This window comes from Homo sapiens, chromosome 11, assembly GCF_000001405.40.
Source record: "Homo sapiens chromosome 11, GRCh38.p14 Primary Assembly".
Taxonomy (NCBI): Eukaryota; Metazoa; Chordata; class Mammalia; order Primates; family Hominidae; genus Homo; species Homo sapiens.
This window is the reverse complement of record NC_000011.10, coordinates 40307008-40330433: the sequence shown is the minus strand read 5'-3', so window position 1 is coordinate 40330433 and position 23426 is coordinate 40307008. Positions and strand designations below refer to the sequence as shown.

At 36.6% G+C, this 23426-nt stretch overlaps 1 protein-coding gene across 18 annotated transcripts in view; it reads left to right on the top strand.

The window, feature by feature from the left end:
• Nucleotides 1–23426, top strand: part of LRRC4C (leucine rich repeat containing 4C) — a 1345454-nt gene that overhangs the window by 1129219 nt on the left and 192809 nt on the right. For all 18 annotated transcript variants that reach the window (XM_017018075.3, XM_017018073.3, XM_017018077.3 and 15 more), the window contains one exon: nt 10713–10806. The gene's annotated coding sequence lies outside the window, so the exon portion shown is untranslated. The remainder of the gene's footprint in view (nt 1–10712; nt 10807–23426) is intronic.

The following is a 23426-nucleotide window of genomic DNA, read 5'->3' as shown; positions in this document are numbered from 1 at the left end:
AGATATGCTAATTACCCTTACTTGATCATTACACATTGTATACATGCATCAAAATATCACCCTGTACCCCATAAATATGTACAATTATTATATGTTAATTAAAAATAATATTTTTATAAGTGAGATAGCTACATTTTTAATGCTAACTTTCCCCAGAAACATCCTCACAGACACACCCAGAAATAATGTTTTACCAGCTATCTGGGTATCATTTAACCCAGTCAAGTTGACAGATAAAATGAGCATCACACCACCTCAAATTCTACTACGTAAGTAATTGTAATTTTTATAGATTCATAATTTGACTACCTCTTCGTCATTAATTTAACACCCGACTGGTATGACTCATTGGATTCTGAGAATGACACTGTACCTAGTTAGAAAGTAACTACCAGCCAGGCATGGTGGCTCACGCCTGTAATCCCAGCACTTTGGGAGGCCGAAGTGGGTGGATCACGAGGTCAGGAGATAGAGACCATCCTGGCTAACACAGTGAAACCCCATCTCTACCAAAAATACAAAAAATTAGCCGGGTGTGTTGGCAAATGCCTGTAGTCGCAGCTACTCGAGAGGCTGAGGCAGGAGAATCGCTTGAACCCAGGAGGCAGATGTTGCAGCGAGCCAAGACTGCACCACTGCACTCCAGCCTGGGCGACAGATTGAGACTCCATCTCAAAAAAAAAAAAAAAAAAAAAAGAAAAAGAAAGTAAGAAAGTAACTACCAAGTGGTTATGCAATCAATACTTGAATACCTCAAATAATTATAAACTGATTACCTTCAACGACAGTCTATTCTACTCTTGGATAGTTTTGACAGGTAGAATTTTTTTATGTTGAGCTGAAATTACATTTCCTGTTTCCTGTCAACCCTACCTTTGGTTCCTGTTCTATACCACGAGGTACACAAAGGAGTTTGAATCACACTTTTCCAGAATAACCCAGAAACCCTGATTCCTGCCCAGTCGTCTCAAAGTCTGTTTGCTTTCTACAGACTCAACACCCTCACATCCTTCCAGCATGACTCACGTGGCATGTTTCCAGTTTACAGCACTGTTTCCGTTGCTCCCCTCAACTTGTTTACATTAGCTATGTGCACTGGCATTTCAGCTACATGTCTTTTTGCTGCTAGTCATCAGACTGTTGGGTTCTGTTCTCCTGTGACATCACTGCATGACTAGCTTGCCCAAGTAAAACAAGGTTTAATTAAATCTTAATGTTGCACCCAGCTCTTTACAGAACTAACTGTTATTTTCACATCCTTGTGCTATTAGCAGAATACATAATGAGAGTGTATGGAGCACAGAATCAGCCCCACTTATAAAGAGTAGCATTTTGTCACTCACTCACGGTCTATTTGCACTAAGCCTACTTTTTGGCTCACCACAGAGGTCTCAGTTTTCCCCCACAGACAGATAAACTTTTATTTGTGGTAGTGTTTGTTCTTTTTGAGTTACTCAGGTGGCATCATAAAATCATTAAAATATATTAATATGTCTTTGAAAAGAAGCTATTTAATATATTTAGTGCAGAAAGTTTTGGGGATTACCCCACTCATGCTGCTATTATCCAGTTACCTTTTTCACATTTATGAATTGTCTAAATGGAAACCACTAGTCTCTGAGCACTCCAAATGCAAGTAACCCATAAAATATTCTGTATTTAAACTGATAATCACTTCTCTTTCATTTTTAAATTATGACAGAAATGATTATCAAAGTTATTCTCTGGGGGAAAATTACAAAGTGATACCACTCAAGTACTTGTGAGATTACTAATTTTTAAACCTGCTCATAAATCCTCAGGAAATGTACAATACCTCAATTATTAAATATTAATCCAGTAAGACTTATTCCAATGGTTGACTATTCTTGTCTGCCTTAGAGAAGTCCCAGAAAGAGTATGATGACGTGGATTAAAATATACATGCAACTTGTCAACAACTTTAGTTGTCTCCAACAGCTAAAGGCAAATATGAAAAAAAACACACAATGTGTGGAAGTATTATACTGTACCATTGAACTGATAATGATGTGAATATGTTCTTTTAGGCAATTCATCTCTTGATTTCTTTTTACTTCAGGTGATAGTAATGATGTGGTCTCTTTATTTTGAAATAAAAAACGGAGAGCCTAGCAGGCTTCCTAGACACCAGACTTCTAATTCTCATGTTAAAATAAATAAGGATAAAGTGGCTACATAGATTTAACTCCACTTTAGATAAAAATACTGTGGCATAGAATATTGAACTATCTTTCCAACCCTTCACAGGCCATGGAAGAGTAGAATATCAAGTTTGGGTATAAATGTTCTCATTTTAGTTCTTACTATGCAAACCAAATTCTTTTAAAATATATATAAAAATATTTCACTTTTAGTAATGTCTGTCTACAAACTCTCTCACTGTCTGTGGTACATATTTGTTAACATGTATAAAGATCACGATATTATTTTTACATAATGATTAATTCCTTTCTTTAAAAAAATCTCAAGCAAATTCACAATTAGAATTTGGAAGCATAAATGAAATTTTTTTCTTGATTTTCTAAGTGATGTAAAGTTTTTATAGGTCAACATAAAAGTAATCAACTTTATTGTTTTTGTTATTAATTTTTGCAATAGTTCTAGAGTCAATGTAGAGTGTAGTGAAACCAGTTTTATGAATTCCGCTTGAGATATTTTTGTTGGAGTTTAATAGACTAAAAATTTTGAAAATGTTCAAGCAGAAGAGAAGTTATAAAAGACTCATCACCAACACCTGGCCCAGTGCATAGCTAATTCACAGTAAATGTTTATTAAGGGAATGGCTGACTGATAGACTGACAGATGGACTGACTAACTGACTAAATCAGTGACTATGAAAACATATTCATACACTGAACTCAAATCCAAGATTATTTTGAAGCTCCATAGCTTTTGATGAATATCGCTTCTCAGCCTTTTGGCTAAGATCAAGTGTAATTAACAGCAACTTCTTTCTGATAGCAGATAATAATAGAGGCCCTTTTCTTGGTCATTCATTTTCTGCAAGGGAACAGTAAGGCTCAATGAATTCGAAATAAATATGAAACACTGAGATTTCCCATTTAGATCTTCTTATTTATTTATGAAAAAAATGGCCTCTCTATGTAAGCAAGGCATCTCACATGACTCCAAAGGGCATTCATTCTCCAGAAGCAGCCTCTGTTGAAAGCCCTGTCATGGGAAATGGCAGATTTCTGCATGGCTCCTCAGAGAAGTCAACAGGAGGCTTACATTTCTTTCTCTGCCATTGAGAGAGGCTCCAGTTAGCGATAAGAATGCACCTCAACTCTCAAACGTAGACCACCTCAACTAACCACATTCAGCATTAAGATTTCCTAACAGCAGTCCTAACCTTGAATCTTTTCTTGTGGTATTTTTCACTTCTAATCCACAAGCAAATCCTATTAAGATTTCTTCCAAAGTATATTTCAAAACCAGTCTACATTTCTGTGTCCATTTCTACAGCTGTGTTTGAAACCTTTATCACTCTTTCCTAGACTTCTGAAATACTACTGAACTTTCCTCTCTGCACTCAATCTTACCTTTACAATCCATTTTCTACACACTGGTTATTATCATCTTTAAAAAACTCAGATCAATTGCTCTCTCCACTTATATCTTAGAAGATTCCATTGCAATGAGAATGAAATCCAACAATACTGACAGGAGCTGCAAGTTCCTGCATTGTTTGATTTCTGTCTAGCTCTCTGATTTCAATTTCTAGCAATGTCTTTATAATACTCCAGAAGCAATGTTTTTTTGTTCGTCCTTGGACAGGTTAAGTATTGCAAGCTGATCTAAGCTTCTTTGGCCCTGCACAACACACAGGCATGTAGACTTCTTCTTTTTTTTTTTTTTTTCTTTTGAGAAGGAGTCTTGCCTGGAGTGCAGTGGCATGATCTTGGCTCACTACAACTTCTGCCTCCCGGGTTCAAGCAATTCTCTGCCTCAGCCTCCTGAGTAGCTGGGATTACAGGCACCTGCCACCATGCCCAGCTAATTTTTGTATTTTTAGTAGAGACTGGGTTTCACCATCATGTCCAGGCTGGTCTTGAACTTCTGACCTCGTGATCCACCCACCTCAGCCTCCCAAAGTGCTGGGATTACAGGCATGAGCCACTGCGCCTGGCCAGACTTAATTTTGGTAAATAATAATTGCCAAAGAAGCCTGAGCCCTCTGGGTGAGGGTTAGCTATGCCCTCAGTACTAGGTTATACTGAAGTAAGTCACTGACTTAATTTTGGTAAATACAAAGACTTATTAGACAAATATGCTTTCAATAGTGAGCAAGCAAGCAACAGTTTTTATAACCTAAGTGCAACAAAATTCCACCTTTTTTTTTTTTTTTTAGGTTTTCCAAATGCCACCTTTCAGCAGACAGCATTCCAACCTCATGGTTGGATCAATGTTCTTCTCACCCATGGCTAGACAGAGAACCAGTTACAGATCAAGCTTTGAGTATCATCCCTAACTTAAAGATACATGCCTCTGGCCTCACTAGATTCTTAAATGGTCTTAATCTAATTGTGAGTAGTATCTCAAATATATCTTTGTCAATCCATATATGTTGAACACCATTAATTTCACCAATAAAGGCTATTTATTTTATCACCCCAATCATTGACACATTTATTTGCTGGAAAATGACAGTTTCTGATATTTGCTATGATCATTAGCTGCCTGGTGTTGATGAAAAATGAAAAAAATAAGTGTTAGTAGCTATCTTTCGAACATGACTTTTTAATATAATCCTAGCAAATATGGTTTCTTTTTTTTTTTTCTTTTGATACAGGGCCTTGCTCTGTTGCCCAGGGTGCAGAACAGTGGCATCATCAAAGCTTACTGCAGCCTCTATCTTCTGGGCTCTAATGACCCTCACTGCTCAGCCTCCCAAATAACTTGGACTATAGGCATGTGCCACCAAACTTGGCTATTTTCCTTTTTTTAGAGATGGGGCCTCGCTATATTGCCGAGGCTGATCTTGAACTCCTGGCTCAAGCTAACCTCCTGCTTTGGCCTACCAAAGTGCTGAGGTTACAAGCATGAGCTATCATGACTGGCCCGGATTCTTAATTTAGATAAGTGACCCTTCCTTTCCTGGAGTGAGTCAAAGCAAAAGTAGCTGAAACTTATATAATAATACTGAAGTAGTTTCTAATAAGTTGAACACATTTTAACATTAAGATCACTTCAGAAATTTTGCACTGTTGTTGGCTTTGTTAGGAAATGGCGTGAATATGTTTCCTAAGGCTTTTCACATGTCTGGCTCTTTCTCATTCTTCAGGTTTAAGCCCAAATTTCACCTTTCAACTAGTCGTTCCATTGCCAATCTGTTCATAGAAGACTAATAATAATAATAAAGTAATAATGGTAACTACAACTATACTAATAGTAATTTTGAGCATTTCTATTTGCTAAGCACTGGGTTAATCTTTGTGTATTTATTAATTCATTTAGTCCTCAAAATAAGCCTATGAAGTGGAATATTCAGCTTCAATTTACAGAAGACAAACCTGAGGCACAATATCTTGCCAACACAACATAATAGAGAAATGGCAGAGCTGGGATTTGAATCCCCAATCCAAAGCTTACGCTCTTCAGTTAAGAAACCCTGTCTGACCCCAACCTTGTCCTTATCACATCACCCTGTTTATTTCTCCATAATTTTTACCCTAATCTGTAAATATTTGTATTTACTTAATTGTTCTGTCTCATTTATCAATAAATGTTTCTCAAGAATTGTTCTTTCTCATGCTTTCAAGAAAATATAGATATCTTGAGAGCCAGGACCTTGCCTAGCCTGTTCATTACTCTGTCACAGGATCTAATACTATCCCTGGTGCATAGTTAGTGCTCAATTTATTGTTTTTCGCAAATGAGTGAGGGTGGTAGAACTCAGATACAGCACTGCTAATTCCAATCTTTCATTGCCCATTTCATTTCACCGTCAAAAGGAACGCCATGAGATTTGGAATTGCTAAGTTTCTATGACATTCTCTGCTACCTGTGTCTTGCATCTGATGTCATATGAATTCAAGCATGGATTTACTAAGGCCTCTTTTGACATCTGACAAAAAAAACTGCTCACCTTTATGGAAAAAACCACTCACCTTTCTTCTATTCTCTGCACTATTGCCAGAGCAATACTTTTAGAATCAAGCTTGCTTAAAATCCATCAGAACTTCTGCATCTGCATGATTTTAAGGATCATGTCCAAACTCCTTATCATGACATATGAGACAGCTCATTAATTTGTGTGCCTAATCATGGATGTCAATTTGTTACATTCACACTTCTATGTGAGTATGTGTACCTACACACTAAACACACACACATAAACTCACACACACATACTTGCCACCTCTCACACTAATCATTCTGAATTTCTTGTTCATTGAAGGGAAGGTGTCAGGCTCTTTTATAGGATCTTCCCGCCGACTAGTGAGATCTTCTATATTTGCTTAATTAACTAATGCCTACTTGGTTTTGAAGCCTCATTTCTTCAGATAGTTGTCCTTGATTCTCCTCAGTCTTATCTAGCTACCTCTGATACCACCTAATTCATAAATTGTTTTATCATAGACTATGTCATATTATTCTATAATTGTTTGTATACGCTACTACCTCATTCAATAGAGGGTGGGTTCCTTGAGGTAGGATCTGTGTTGCTTTTAGCACAGTGTTCTGTCCAGAATAGGTGCTCTAGAAATATTTGATGAAAAAATCCATAAGAGGAAAAAAGGAATAAGCTCTAATCCTAAAGCAACCCCAGACATGAGAATAATCTGTGGCAAACTGTCCTTCAGAGGTATGTTCACTTGCTAGCTGCATTTTATAACTTTAGTGGATAGGGCCAACATTATTCCCTGGTGATGTCAATATGGCCCCTTCATCAGTCTGAAAATCGGCTGGCAATGAAAATACATGAAGTCTGGAAGCTGTTTATGAAACTATGAAGGTGAGTCAATAGACTCTGTTCCAAGTTGGCAAGAAGAGACATCGTCCTAAACATCCAAAGCGCCATAATTCACATTGAGCTTCTCATTAATTTAAATGTTAATGTAAATTTAAAACATGTTGTATTGATTTGGAACTATTTTTATATGAATATTGCATAACTGAGCTTCTAACAGCAGAGTCCAAATGGACATTCCTTCACATTAACTTATTATAATTAAGAAAACAAGTGAACTTTCACCTTTTTTGTCATGTAAAATCATTTGTTTTAGTTACAACGTTTAGCTATGAGAAGCTATGAGAACTTCTGCCTTTGAGTGCAATTGCTTTAGGCTGCTCTGAGCAAAAAGATCCATTTCCAAGTTGATTATTTTAGGGTATTGAACATTTAATTTCAAATATGTATAGAGATTTGTGACTTTCTCATTTCATTGGTGAGTCAAATAAAGTTACCATGACAATGCTGGTTACTTTAGTCTCTTTCGTTAGTACTTCAGTCATAATCTCTTTTTATTGAGATTTATATTTCCAAGGGAAAATGTAATTTACAGAAGATATTCCATTTTATTAGTCCCACATGAAATAAATTATGATGATGAGGATGCTGACAATACCTGGATATCTATGTATATGCTTACTCTGGGACAGACCCTGAGCAAAGTACCCTATAGAAATTTCCTCATTAAATCCCAAAGCAGCATAAAAGGGATGGACCTCTCATTATCCTGTTTCACAAATTAGGATAGTGACCCATAGAAAGATGAAGCCACTTTTCTAAAGATCTACAAACAGGAAGTGATGCTGCTGACCTTAGATTGTCTGACTCCAAGGTCTTCTGCAACCTATGCTCCCCGAGTCTTAAACTGCCCAGTGTGATTGACACATTGAAGCCTAGAGATGTGAATTTCTTGGCCGGGTGCAGTGTTTCACACCTGTAATCCTTGCAGTTTGGGAGGGTGAGGCAGGTGAATCACCTGAGGTCAGGAGTTTGAGACCAGCCTGGCCAACATGGCAACACCCCATCTCTACTAAAAACACAAAAATTAGCCAGGCATGGTGGCACATGTGTGTAATCCCAGCTACCTGGGAGGCTGAGGCAGGAGGATCCCTTGAACCCAGGAGGCGGAGGTTGCAGTGAGCTGAGATCGCACCACTGCACTCCAGCCTGAGTGACAGAGTAAGACTCTGTCTCAGAAAAAAAAAAGTGAATTTCTTTTTTAAAACATGCAATATAAACATACAATTGAGGATTCAGTGCTACCATTGAGAAGCTGGGTAGATGGATGAAATCCTAAAACCTGCTTTCTGGTTCCTGAACATATTGTATCTTATTCCCTTCACCTGTGCAGTATAACATTTAGTGAATCGATTGGTGAGTCCCTTCCAGCCCCACATTTAATGAATCTACATAATATGATTCACTTTGTTCTAATCAACAAACCCCCTGCCTTGTTCTCTTCACAACCACCTGTCATAGTACTTCTCTTATCTGATGCTATGTCCCTTCAGGCAGCCCCACCAAGCTCAGTTCTCTGTACTAAGAATCCTGGTATAAACAAATTTATTTGAAACTCATTAAATACCAAGTAGAAAACTCAGATTGAAAGAAGGAGGAGACATCATTTTGTTCCCCTGAACATACAATTGAAATGGAATGCAAAAATTAGATTCCTGAGAAATTAGACAAGGCATTCAGGTATGAAAAGATCAATATCAACTGATGCATTCAGAGGCTAAGATACAATCGATCTGATAGAATCTACTTCAATTGAATATGTACTGGCCCAGAAGTAGCCATCAAGCTTTGTAGTGCCAGGATACATAGCACAGTTCATAGTAAGAAAAAGTATAGGCTTGGGGATTAAACAGACTTGCTAATTCTGCCATTTATCTCTTTCTGGGTTAAACTAAGTTGTTTAACTGACTTAAACATCCTTACCTCTGTTTCTTAATCTATAAAAGGAGAATTATAATCCAAATTTTTATAGCATAGTTATGAAGCTTAATTTGTACAGTAATGTAGAGAGATTAGCCCAGTGCATTAGAAGTATAATGCAAGCTTAAATTAGTTTCTTTTATTCTAATAATAGTAGCAAACAAATCTGATATGCCAGTTTTAAAATTATCTTTGCAAGTAGTAATTCCAGCTATCACTCAACCCTTCAGTTTTAGGAAATGTATTGTTTTTTCAAGACAACAACAAATTAAATATGAACATTTCAACCAAAAATACCTTTTTCCCTCTGGAAGATATGTGAGGGGAAAAAAATCATCATATCATGCTAAATTCTGTAAGCTATCTTACATATTGTTGGTGGTTTCCCCAGTCCTTTCAGAATTTCAACTTCTCTTTAACATCAGGATAGCTGAAGGATGGACAACTGACCTACTGGTCATTAGACTCCAAAGAGTTATTAATCTTTTGAGTTAAAAATAAAATTGTACTAAACTCCGTCAGGTAGATAATTAATTTTTTTTCAAGTAATACATGAATCTCAAATTCGTTGATTACAACCACCTTAGTATAACTTACCTACAAATAACTCATGCTCGAGAGAGAAGCTAACAATTGGCATATATAAGTATATAAAAATTCAGGCTTTATTTAAGCATGGGAGTTTTGCTTCCACAAAATCTTCCTGATCATTCTACCCATATCAAAACATACCCTCAGAAGGAAAATTATCACAGAATTTGAAAGATGGAAGGGTCCTTAGTGGCAATTTTGTACGAAGCTTTTTGTTTTATATGTGGAGCAATTAAGACTCAGTAAGTTTTGGATTCTTGCCCAAAATTGTCTGGCTAATTATGACAGGGTTATGAATTGAATCCAGTTCTAATTCTCAATCCAATGTCTATATTTACTTATTTTCTGTGATGCTATATCAAACTGAGGAATATGTAAATTACAGTGTATATTTTCTATTTATTTATTTATGTATTTATTTTTGAGACAGAGTCTCACTCTGTCGCCCAGGCTGGAGTGCAGTGGCGCGATCTCAGCTCACTGCAAGCCTCTGCCTCCAGGGTTCACACCATTCTCCTGCCTCAGCCTCCCGAGCAGCTGGGACTACAGGCGCCCACCACCATACCTGGCTAATTTTTTGTATTTTTAGTGGAAATGGGGTTTCACCGTGTTAGACAGGATGGTCTCGATCTCCTGACTTCGTGATCCACCCACCTCTGCCTCCCAAAGTGCTGGGATTACAGGCGTGAGCCACCGCGCCCGGCCATTTTCTAGTTTTTTAATGTCAGTTTCAGCTATTAGAGTTGAAATAAACAGATAATTATCTGTATTGTTTTTAGCTCATGGCCAGAGGGAAGAAGTAAGAGCAGGAAGTCTTTTAAATTTATGTACAATAAGCTATTTACAGATAAAAATCTTTTCCAGTGAAATTCATATGACACATTTCAATAAAATGCAATGACATTAAAAAAGAAATGAAAGACTAATAAATCTAGAGTTGGTAAACTAAATCAAATAGATATATGTATATATTTATATGTTGTATATATATAATACATACACATATATACATATACATATTTGCTATAGTTTACCCATGTCTTGATTTGTTAGTTATGTAACACACACATGTATGAAAGACATTCTGTGATTTTAAATTACTAAATTATATTGAGGGAATGGAACAGGCAGGGATGTCTAACACTAAATTTGTTTTCACTTGTATAGCATGATTTTAAAATATGATATTTATGTTATCTTCCTGCAGGTATAAAGAAGTATCTGCAGAAATCCAGAGCACTTATTAAACTTCTTTGAGTTTTCTCAGGAAGATCAATACCTGTTGGAGAAATTTTACTAAGGTAAGTTCCAAATACCACTAATCTATTCTTTAGGGGCTTCCATTCTAGCTGCTCTAGTTCAGAACAAAGTGAGGTTCACTAAGTCAAAAAAAAATAGACAAATAGAAAACCAGGCATTGCTTTTATTAATGATGCAGTTAATATTTGGGGATAACATTTCAGTGCATGCGGCAAAAACGAACTTCATAATATTTAACTACAGCATTAAATAGATTTACCCATCCAGGCCCAAGAAGTGCGTGGCAACTGCAGGCTCTCCCAACATGGCAGCCTGCCCTGTGAAATTTCTAGTGTGGAGTAGCAGACCTGAGTGTATCTTCCTTCAAGTAGCCCACTGTAAAGATGAAGGGGAAGAGAATGGGTTAAACTGTGATTGACGAAATCTTGCTTTGAAGTTCACAAATCAAATAAGCAACTCTACTGACCAAGAAGAAGGAAGAGAAAAGGGGTTAAATAGAGGACAGAAGAGCTGCTATAATGGAGTTTCCTTCATATGGAAGAAAGAAAAATAGAAATGGGGAAGGAGTATTTTTTTCTGTTACCACTGAAGGATCGGAGAGACCTACCAAAAAGGAAAAATGCTCTTTAGAGGTTGCATCAGGATTTTCTTAACCTAACAGCACACGAAGATAATTTCTCCTGGGTAATGGAGGCAGTCAAAGGAATGAGATTTTCCCTGCTTTAAGAAGAAATATTCTAGGCAAAATTTTTTCCACCTTCCTATTAGAAGTCAGGTATTTTCAGAATCACAATAGACATGTTGTGTGTGCTATCACAGAGCAGATGACTATATAGTAGACTACTACCATTTATGTTTTTACTTATTTTTAAACAAAATAAAAACCCATTGCAGATAGTAGTTTTCAATTTTTGAGGCATACTGTTAAGTTATTCTGTAAAGAGCAGGTGGAGGGAACAGTTTAGGTAGTAAATGGGCTTAGCTAACTCCTCAGTGGACTTGTCTCAATGGGGATTTGAAACTCTAATTTAATAAACAACCCGTGTACATGGATTTATTTATTGGTAAAAACAAAACCAAGGAAATATAATGTATTGAAAATATAAAAAGGAATCATAAGCTTGAAGAAAGTAAAATAATGGGCTTGGTGCAAGACTGTGAACCAAGCCAAGTATCTGTAGAAGGTAGCAGGATTGACTTAATAGTCTCCATTAGATGCTGCCTCTGTAATGAATGAACCCTGCTCCTTTCATATTTGTGTTTCATCATCTAAGATTGAAGGTCATTTCATTCCAAAAAATGTTTGGTTTATTTTGATCATTTTACTTGGTCAAATTTTGATGATTTTTCCTTTTGACTAGACTGGAGCAGTAAAGGCAAAATAATAATAATAATAATAAATTAGACCATTGTGGCTTCTGTAGAGAAAGAGCAAGCATTCGGATTGACCACAGCACTGTAAATACATATTACAAGGAATAATTAATCACTGAAAACAAAATAGGCTTACTATCTGGGAGGTGATATCTATATTTGATATTATTTGGCATAGACGAGTATAGTGATGTTTGGAAATTGATTATTATCAATGTTCTCGGGTATGTCTTTCAAGAATACCAAAGGTCTACTAGACTGATCAATATTTTTAATTTGACACTAAAAACTTATACCTCTGGAAGCTAATATGTAAGCTTAAATGTATGGTTACATGTATAAAGGTTCTGATCCTGCCTGTGTTCACTTTGAAAGGAAGAGTCTACTCCTTGCTACCAGGTTGCTGCTGCTGCAGAGAATATGGACTTCTGCTCTCTAAAAGAGGAACCTGGTTTCTCTCATCTTTCCTCTTAAGAATGGAATGGGAATACTTTAGATTTAAAATAAGCTGCTTCCTACCTTTAAATAAAAAGAGTAGCGTAGTGTTGTAACTTGGTAATGAGTGGCAAAAACCATATGTGAACTAATAAAACCATGAAGGAAGTAAAGTTAATATAGTAATTGAGAAGGTGATCTCAGGAAGGAACATGTAGGATGGACCAAGAGACATGCAGAGAGACGTTTCAGTATCTTGATGAAACACATAGAAGGGCATGGGTTTCAGGAAATATGATCACAAATGCATACATTGAGAAACTTGCCTGCATGGCTACAATTGTCAGTAAATTATGAATTGGTGAAGAACAGGACAGATATGTAATTTATTGTCAGCTCTAGAATTTCAAGCTAGAGCATCCTTCTGCTAAGATTTCAGTCTGGATACTAAGTTGTGCTTAGATCCTGTGGAAAGTATAACCCATTATGCAAAGGGACACCTAACCCTAGAAAATTAAAATACTGTGATGAAACAAGAATGAGGAATAATCAGGAAATGGAAAGACTAGGACTGCTGTGAAAGAGCCAAATCCAATAATACTTTGCAAAACAATATTTAAAAAGGAATAAAGTAGTCCTAAGTCAGTAGGATGTCCTGCTCCTAAAAAAAAAAACAAAATACCCTAATTTAGGACCTTTACTGAAGACCCCAGAATTTCCCCAGATTAAGTTCAATAAAAGATGTTTGCATCATTGAATTTTAGTAAACATTAGTTGAATAAACTATTAAATGGTTAGATTGATTATAAATGTATGAGATTATTTTCCAAAATATACATTTGCTCATCTAATTTAGAATGAGTAAATCCCAGTTTTCTCCCTTTTTCCCATTTCCCACAGCCTTTATAACATCTTTTTTAGCATATTAGGGAACTAAATTTTTTTAAAAAACCTGGTAACTTAAGAGAACCCTATATAGATCTCCAATGGGTCTATCCTAAAGAGTTTATCTCAGAAATTCAAGGCTATCTGGTTTCCTGGCACCCATAAATCACAGCTTAACCAAATCACATCATAGTGAAAGCATTCTAAGTTTAATTTTACCTTGAGATTTATGAAGCTTCTAATGATATTTACAGTCACGCATATGATAAATAAATGCATAACAAGTTCTATAGAATGTTTGGATATTCAGAGAAATTTTCCAAGAACGCTTTGTGAAAGTTTATTAAACGCCTAGAGATCAGAAAATACAACCACTCATTTGATTAACTATCATAACTCTTCATTTTCTGTTGCCTGTAAGCATTGTCATGCAGATTTTTTGTCCTATCTGAATTTATACTAATAGGATTTGGCCATATCCCTACTGATGTTTACTTCTGTCTTCTTTTTGCTAGTAGAGGGACTGAGAATTATTGTCTTCCAAAAGGTCATTAACTGATTAACTGGACAAAGCAACAGATTGGAACAAGTAAAGTTCCAAACAGCCTTGTCAGGTTTCTGATTCATTCACAAAAACTAGACATCTACATGAGTAAGTTGTGGTGGCTGTTACTTTATGATTGACATTTTTATCTAGCAACAAATAGAGTTCTACTTATTTCTGAAAACATATCTATAAATTGGATTCCCCCAATGTCTATAATGAGTTACATAATTTCAAGTGAGACAATATTATTGCCTCCAATCTAAAGAGAACTGAAAGAATATTTGCTATTATCACATCTGTGGGATTTTTTTTGATTAAAAAATGCATAGACTTTTTCCAGTTTGGGTTTTCTCTGAAATGTGGCTATATTGGTAGTGGCTAAAATAGTTATTAGATCTAATTCATAGAGATCTTGCTAATAGAACAAACATGCCCACATTCCCATGATTCGGTCCTGGTTAACAAATCTGTACACCATAAATCTGATGTAGCCCTACTCAGGGAGATTGTAAGCTCTATGGGATGCCTCCTCATTGCTCTTTAAATTTAAAACCAAATTAAAACATCCTGTAGTGTTAAGAGTTTAGAGAAGGAGCATTTTTATAAACCGCTGTTCAGAGTATAATTTGGTGTAACCCTGTCAGAGACCTATATGTTACGTGATTCAAATGTCTTTAAAATGTGCCACTTCCTTTTCTAAGATTGCAAATAAATCAGTGGACAAATGAAGACATATCTACAGGCATGATCATTAGAGTATTGTAAGCAGTTGCAATATATTGGAAACAACTTAAAAAACTAAAAATAGACTGTGTTATATAGTTTATTGATATAATGAAACACTATACAGTGTTTCACAATGCTGCTGCTCTGAATGTATAGATATGGGAATATATTCATAATATTAATTTTAAATTTCTGATTATAAGAAATGTAAATGTGACATTAATAATTTTACATATTACATATATTAGGCATTTATATGTGTAGAAAAATATCTAGATAATAGTATTATATGAGGGTAATATTTCCTTGTTTTAAAATGAGAAATAGACATGTAGGTACATAAACTAGGAGAATAAAATAAATTGCAAACTAAGCAAAAGCTATTTAAAGGATAAAAATGACTTCTTCCTCCTCTAAAACACACACACATGCACACACACACGCCATCCCTTTATAATCCATATTGGGTTTTTTAATTTTTTCATTTTTTCCTGTCTGTGCAGTATTTTATTTTTTCAATTTTGTTTAACTGACATAATAATTGTACATATTTTGGGAGTATACAGTGATACTGCAATACAGATAATATATATTGATTAGCATATTCATCACCTCAAACCTTTATTATTTCTTCTTGTTGAAGCATTCAATATCCTCTTTTTAGCTCTATGAAACTGTATAGTATATTTTTGTTAACTACAGTTGTCCGATAGTGATATACAGCACAAGAAATTATTCCTCCTTTCTAACTTTAATTTTGTATCCTTTAACAAATCTCCCTCCATCTCCCTTTCCCCTACACTTCCCAGACTCTACTATCTTCTGTTCTACTTTTTACTATTATGAGATCAACTTTTTTTTAGCTTCTACATTTGAGTGAGAACATGTGGTATTTAACTTTCCATTCCTGGCTTATTTCACTTAACATAATGTCCTCCAGTTCCATTGATAATGCTGCAAATGACAGAATTTTATTCTTTTTTATGGTTGAATAGTATTTTATTGAGTATATATACCATATTTTCATTATCCATTCATCTGTTTTTGGACACCTGAGTTGAATCCATACCTTGGCTATTGCCAGTAATACTGCAATAAGCAAGGGAATGTAGATGTCTCTTCCTTATGCTGATTTCCTCTCCTTTGGATAAATGCCCAGTAATGTGATTGCTGGATCACATGGCAGTTCTATTTGTAGATTTTTGAGGAACGTTCATACTTTTCTTCATGGTGGTTGTACTTGTTTACGTTTCCAACAGTGTATAAGAGTTCCCTTTTCTCTAGAGCCTCCCTAGCATTTGTTTTTTTGTTTTTCTTTTGTGATAATAGCCATCCTAACTGGGGTGATGATAACTCACTTTGGTTTTAATTGGCATTTCCCTGATGATTAGCGAGGATGAACATTTTTTCATGTATTTTTGGCCATTTGTATGCCTTCTATTGAAAAATATCTATTCGGATCATTTAGCCATTTTTTTAAAAAATCAGATTGTTTGCTTTGTTTTTGTTTTTGTCTTCTGTTTTTTATTTATTTTTTATTTTTTGCTGTCAGGATGTTTGAGCTCTTTTTATATTCTGAATATTAATCCTCTGTCAGGTAAATAGTTTGCAACTTATTTCTCCCATTCTGTAGGTTGTCTTTTCATTCTGTTCATTGTTTCCTTGGCTGTGCAAAAGCTTTTAGTTTTATGTGATCCCATTTATTTGTTTTTGCTTTTGTTGCCCATGCTGTTGAGGTCTTATTCATAAAATGTTTTCCCAGACCAATGTGCTAAAGAATTTCCCCACGGGCCGGGCGCGGCGGCTCACGCCTGTAATCCCAGCACTTTGGGAGGCCGAGGCAGGCGGATCACGAGGTCAAGAGATCGAGACCATCCTGTAGCCAGGATGAAACTTCGTCTCTACTAAAAATTAAAAATAAAAAAAAATAGCCAGGCATGATGGCGGGCGCCTGTAGTCCCAGCTACTTGGGAGACTGAGGCAAGAGAATGGCGTGAACCCGGAAGGTGGAGCTTGCAGTGAGCCGAGATTGCGCCAATACACTCCAGTCTGGGTGATAGAGCGAGACTCCATCTCAAAAAAAAAAAAAAAAAAAAAAAAAAGAATTTCCCCTCCTAGCATGTTTTCTTTTAATTGTTTCATAGTTTTGGGTCTTACATTTAGGACTTTGATCCATTTGAGTAGATTTTTGTATATTTAAAACTCTAGTTTTATGCTTCTGCGTGTGGATATCCAGTTTACCTAGCACCATTTATTGAACAGATGGCCCTTCCTCCAATGTATGACATTGGCACCTTTGTCAAGAGTCAGTTGGCTATAGATATGTGAATTAATTTCTGGGTTCTCTATTCTGTTCACTGGCCCTGTGAATTTGTCATGTTTTCATGTTATCATGACTCCTCTGCCTTAATCTATAACAGTGATAATAACTCCTGCCTGTTGTGGTAAGTCACAGAATTGAAGGGCTGTAGCAGCCAGCAACATGGTGAAAGGCCTGGGAGGAGGCGAGGAGTAAAAACTAACATAAACAAATCTATTTGATCGATTACAAATAGGACAAAACAAAAAGAATGTGAGTTGTAATGTCCAGAGGTAGAGATTGAAAAGAGACTTTGAGGATGGTGAAAGGGACAGGCAATAATATATTTGCCATTCACCAGTAAAGTAAAGCTAAGACCACTTCTGGCGTGATAGACATTTGGGTCTCAGTGAAAGGAGTGGATGAGTGGCAAAAATGTTGGACTTAGCAATTCTGCAAGCCTGTAAAGTGCAAAAGAGAGGGCACCTGGTCAGTGAAGGTATCAAGATGTTGCTTGGGAGAGCTTGAGCCTTCATGTAACTGCTGTCCAATCTCTGAAAGCAATTAAATGCTCAAATAAATGTCTTTCGGGTTAAGCTGACTACATTTTCATCCAGATTGTTGACACTGTCCTTCTGCTAGACTGTTGGAACCATGACCATACTGTATTCATGGAGTAGTTAGTATCTGAGAGGTAAAGGAAAATCCTTTTGCAAATAAGACTAAAACAGGAACCCCTCAATAGCTCTGGATTCCCTTGAATTTGCCTTTCTTTTAGCATTCTTGGGTAAAACTGGGTTGGTGCTATGAAGGGTTGGGAATCCCTTTTTTAAAAGGTCTTGAAGACATCTATTCATGGAGGAGTTTACTTAACCCAGTCTACTTATCAATACCACTATCCTAAAAATAATGGCAGGTAATAATAAATGATGTGAATAAATTCCCATGCACATGGCTGGAACTAAGCTCCTTTACATGAATTATCTCACAGCACTGTTTTCACCTTTACTTCAAAGAAGGAGGAAGACAAAAGCAAAATAACTTATTTGTTCAAGATCATTCAAATGGAAAGAAGGTAGAAATGGGATTAAAATCTAGGCAATATGACTCAAATCTTCTCAAGCATTGGTGGCTCTATTGTTTATTTATGGTTACTGTTATCGATTAAGGTAACAATAATAATTCAAAGAAACTGACAGAAAGTATAACCAAGCAAGAGTTTCACGCAACTCAGAAGTTAAATTTTTCAAACTTTTTTTTATGTATCAACAGAAGGGAGTTGGTGAGTTAGAACTCCATAGTTCATCTTGAGTTCCCTTCTTTGGCCTTAACCCACATCTATGATAAATAACAAGACATAAGTGAAATCCATAGCTTTAAGATGCTGAGACATACAAAACCATAAAGCACTGTAATGTACATGAAAGGGGAAAAGTACTTTTTTTTTTTTTTTTTTTTTGAGACAGAGTCTCACTCTGTCTCCAGGCTGGAGTGCAGTGGCACGATCTTGGCTCACTGCAACTTCCGCCACCCAGGTTCAAGCAATTCTCCTGCCTCAGCCTCCCAAGTAGCTGGGACTACAGGCACATGCTACCACACCCAGCTAATTTTTGTATTTTCAGTAGAGACAGGGTTTCACCAAGTTGGCCAGGATGGTCTCGATCTCTTGACCTTGTGTATCGCCCATCTCGGCCTCCCAAAATACTGGGATTACAGGTGTGAGCCACCGTGCCCGGTCAGAAAAGCACATTTTAAGTGTGGTGCATTTGGCAAGTGGCAACCTTTTGGAAAACAGAGGTGAAATAAAAATTACCTGCTAAATCTCAGCTGTTGTACAGCATATTTCAGCTGAGAATACTTAAAAATAAAATGCCCAAGAAGGCAAACTATTAGAACTTCTATTTGTATGTGATCTTATTTTCTCTGTGTACAGAAAGAGATTTTCTTTCAATGTTGTCATTGTCCTCATTGAGCACTCACTCATTAAGTACACGTTTACTGAACATGTACATTATGCCACAAAATTAGGCACTAGGGTTACCCAGGAGGATAAATGCTGTCTTCTGTGAAGGGAAACAAAGACAGGCCCTGAGAGCTTAATATCTTAATAGTATGGTAGAGATAAGAGGAACAGATGCACATTAACATAAAGATAGATACGCTTGCCCATATACGCATATGCTATCTTGCCATACTGCAGGAGAGAAATATCAATCACACTGAGGATATTAACAGAATGTCTGGGTGGCTTCCGCCTTGATCACAGAAGATTTTATGGATGAGTTGAGTTTTGAAAAGTTTTGGAAAAAAAATGACAGGATAAAGTATGGTTGCACAGAATATGGAGATATTTTCTGTTTTGGCAGAGATAATGACACAAAGGATCTAAGGAATCCTCAGTATCTTTAAAAACTATAATTTGAACTAAGAACCACCTCAGGTGAGCCATACAGTGTATCACATCCCGAATTAATGCATATGGTTTTCAAAATATTTTCAAATGGACCCTAAACAAAACAAAACTCTTTGGATTCTTCTTTAGGACCCAGTCTTTGGAAATGAGATAATATATAGTTATTATGCTTAATTCTAATAAATAAAGTAAACCAAAGTCCTTTTAAAGGCTTTGACTTTAAATCAAACCAGCATACAGTCAGCATTGAAATTAGCTTTTAAACTTAAAAAACATATTACTTCTGTCACCCCTGAATTCTTTATGGAGGGGGTGGGGTGGTTGTTGTGAGTTAATGCTTATAAGAGTGTAGCACAGTATCTGCCACATAGTACATGCTCATTAAATGTAAGCTAAGCTAGTGCTTCTTTTTGTTACTTTAATAAAGATGATTGGAGGATACAGCACACAAATCATGCATGTGCCGATTGATGCACGATTATAGAGAGTTCTGATTTTTCCTTCAATAAAATAGGTTTATTGATGTTACTATAGCCTATAAATTGTGGCAAGCAATGTGGTACAATGATGAATAAGATAGACTGCTACCTGGAAGGGCATCAGAGTCTGTTAGGGCCCATTTTCAACTAACCACAATAGTTACTTTGGGGTTCTGATTCATTCCTTATTTACCTATGAATTCCTAAGGAATTCAGGGACCTCAAAAGCATTTTCCTTTCATAAGAAAGCATTTCAAAATGCCTCTAGCACACTGTTCTATTGAAGCATGGTTGTACTTTTGAAAATATGTTCCAATTTATAAAATACTTTTACCCTCTTCAAAATATGATCTTCATGATTATTCATGAAGTAAGAATAGGGCTGCGGGAAATAAGTGGAGAAGTGGGGGGATGATTGGAGGATACTGATACTTCACGGACTTAAATGACTCTCCCAAGCTAACCGAGTTAGTGAGTAAGAAGGCAGTACTTTCTTCTACATTAGGTTGCCTCCATATAGGATGAGCCAGTCACCTTTTATTCCCCTGACTCCAGGCAGGGCCAGCAGGAGGGAAGAAGATGGGCCTCTGGCATGCTTCCACAGAATGTTCAGCATCCCTCCTCAACCATCCTTTCCTTTCTCTAGTCAAACATATCTTCTTCCTGCTTCTGGGGGCCTGAGCAGCCATTAAGATCATACTTTTGGTGGGGCATGGTGTCTCTTGCCTGTCATCCCAGCATTTTGGGAGGTCCAGGAAGGTGGATCGCTTAAGCTCAGGAGTTTGAGACCAGCCTGGGCTACATGGTGAAAATCCGTCTCTACAAAAAATACAAAAAATTAGCTGGGCGTGGTAAAGCACACCTTCAGTCCCTGCTACTTGGGAGGTTGAGGTGGGATAATCACTTGAGTCGTAGAGGTGGAGGTTGCAGTGAGCTGAGATTGTGCAATTGCACTCCAGCAACAGAGCAAGATACTGTCTCAAAAAAAAAAAAAATACACTTCTGCTCCTTTCTTCTCTGTCGTGTTCACTCAAAAATATTCTACCCTGTAATAATAATAACTGAAATAAAATATTGTCTACTCATATAATGCAATATTATTTGGCAATAAAATGGAATGAAATACTGATATGTGGTATGGCATAGATGAACCTTGAAAAGATTATGCTGAGTGAGAGAAGCCAGACACACAAGACCACACATGGTATGATTCCATTTATATGAAATATTGAATATGAATATGATATGGATATATATATCAATTTGAATATACAATAAGCAAATCTATAGAAATAGAAAGTAGATTAGTGTTTACTGATGGCAGGGTGAGGACTTGAGAATGACTGCTAATAGTACCAAGTTTCTTTCTCAGATGATAAAATATTCTAAAATGACACTGTGGTGATGGTTGCATAACCGTGAATATGCTACAATACAGCCTGTACTGGTGTGAACAAACCATTAAGGGTGACTCTGGTGAGGGCTCAGAAGGAGTGGAAGTGAGCTGTAAAGAAAGTTCCATACTTCTTTGAGAATACCTATATGATCATGAACAGAATGTTGGTAGAAATATGGATGGTGCAGCCCATTCTGATGATTCATATGCATGTCCGTTTTATTGGCTCATGTAACCAGAGTAGCTTCAAGTATGACTAGATCTAGATGTTCAATACCTAATAAGCTGAAACATAGAATCTATCACTCTTAATCTCATAGCTCTACTTCCGTCACTGCTGACATTTTTCTTGGGCTGGCTTTCGTATGTGGTGGCAATGAAATTCCCAAACTACAGATTCACCTTCCTTCATTTTGGCCACCTCAGTGGATCAAGGGTTTCTCCCTTCTTATAGTCCATGGAAAAAAAAAGTTTGTGGTTGGCTTGAGTCACTTGCCCAGCAATTATGTTAACTGACAGTATAAGGTATTTGACCTCCTGCCTTTCTCTTATAAGGACCCTTATAATTACATTGGACCCACCAGGTCATCCAGGATAATCTCCCATTTCAAAATTTGTGACTTAATCATACCTGCAAGGTCCCTTTTGCCATGTATGAGACATAGCCACAGGTTCCAGAGATTCAAATATGGACATTTTGGGGAGGTTGAGGGGAGGCATTATTCAATGTAACATATTTACAATGCTATGAAGTGTTAATGTTGGATCTTTAATCCATGTTTCCCAAATTGAAGATCAGTTTCTCTTCTACTTTATCACAACTGCATCAGCGGCCATGCATAAGCTTGGCTAGATTTCAAACTCTCTGGGAAAAGAGAATTGCACCTGCCATAGCAAACAACTGTATGTGTGGTGGGGGAGAAAGTGTGATTGTTTTCTGAAATCACAGGAAGAGATGGGGGGAAAAAAGGTTCAGTATCAGTGCCATCACTCCACACTAGCAGTGCCTCCTTGGCTCTCTTTTTTGATTAATAAAGCAATAATGTAGATTTGCTTGTACCTCCTTTATTTGATAAATTCTGTTTCTAGCGAAATAATACAAATTCCATCAGTAGGCAAATCACTTAATAGTTTTCAAATGACAACTATAATTCTTTCTCAGCTGTTCCTACATGTGCAAAGAGAAACAGAGAATTAAGGCAGTTGCATGAATAATTTAAACAATAAACCTCTATTGGCTCAATTATATGACTATTTCAACAAGCATCTGGAGATAAGTTTAATTTTGTATTCTCTAACTTTTTTTTAGTTTACTTTAACATTTTTAGTCATTTCTTTATAATAAGTCATTTGTTTCGTTTGTGTCCTAAATAAAATTTAACAAACATTTAATGAGCAACTAATATATGCCAGCAACTGTGCTCATTTATCTGGTGGCTAAAAAGACACAAAACAATGAATCTCATTCTCATGCAGTTTTCAGTTTCAACAGGAGAGATGATACAATTATATACATAACTATACAACATGGCAGAAGGCAAAGGTCGTGATTGAACAAAAATGACATTTGAAAGTATTTAGAGGGAGAAATATCATGCAGTTGGAAAGAATTGGGAAACTTCCCCTAGGAAAAAGAATTTTAGAGGATGGATAGGCATTTGCAAGGCAGAAGCTGGGTGGGAGAGTGTTGCAGTAGACAGAGCTACACAGGCAAGGGAGCAGGACAATTCAGGACTAATCTTGGGAGCCACAATTCTATTGATTATGCTGGGGAATAGGGAACATGCAAATTTCTCCCAATCATTCAAAGAAAGAAAGAAAGGGACAGTTTATGTCCAGTATTTAAAACTATCTAATTTACTCATCCCAACACCCTAGTGGTTTTCAGTGGAGCGGTGGGGAGGAGAGAATTATTCATGTCTGTAGACATTTTGATTGTCATAATGGGGGGTGAGGAGGTGGAGTGGGGAAGAGAGGATGCTACTGCCATCTAGTGGGTACCAGCTAGGAATGCTGCTAAACATCCTACAGGACCTAGGGCACCTCCCCAAGCAAAAAAACAAAAACAAAAAAAAATTGTATATAGATAGATAGATATTAGATAGAT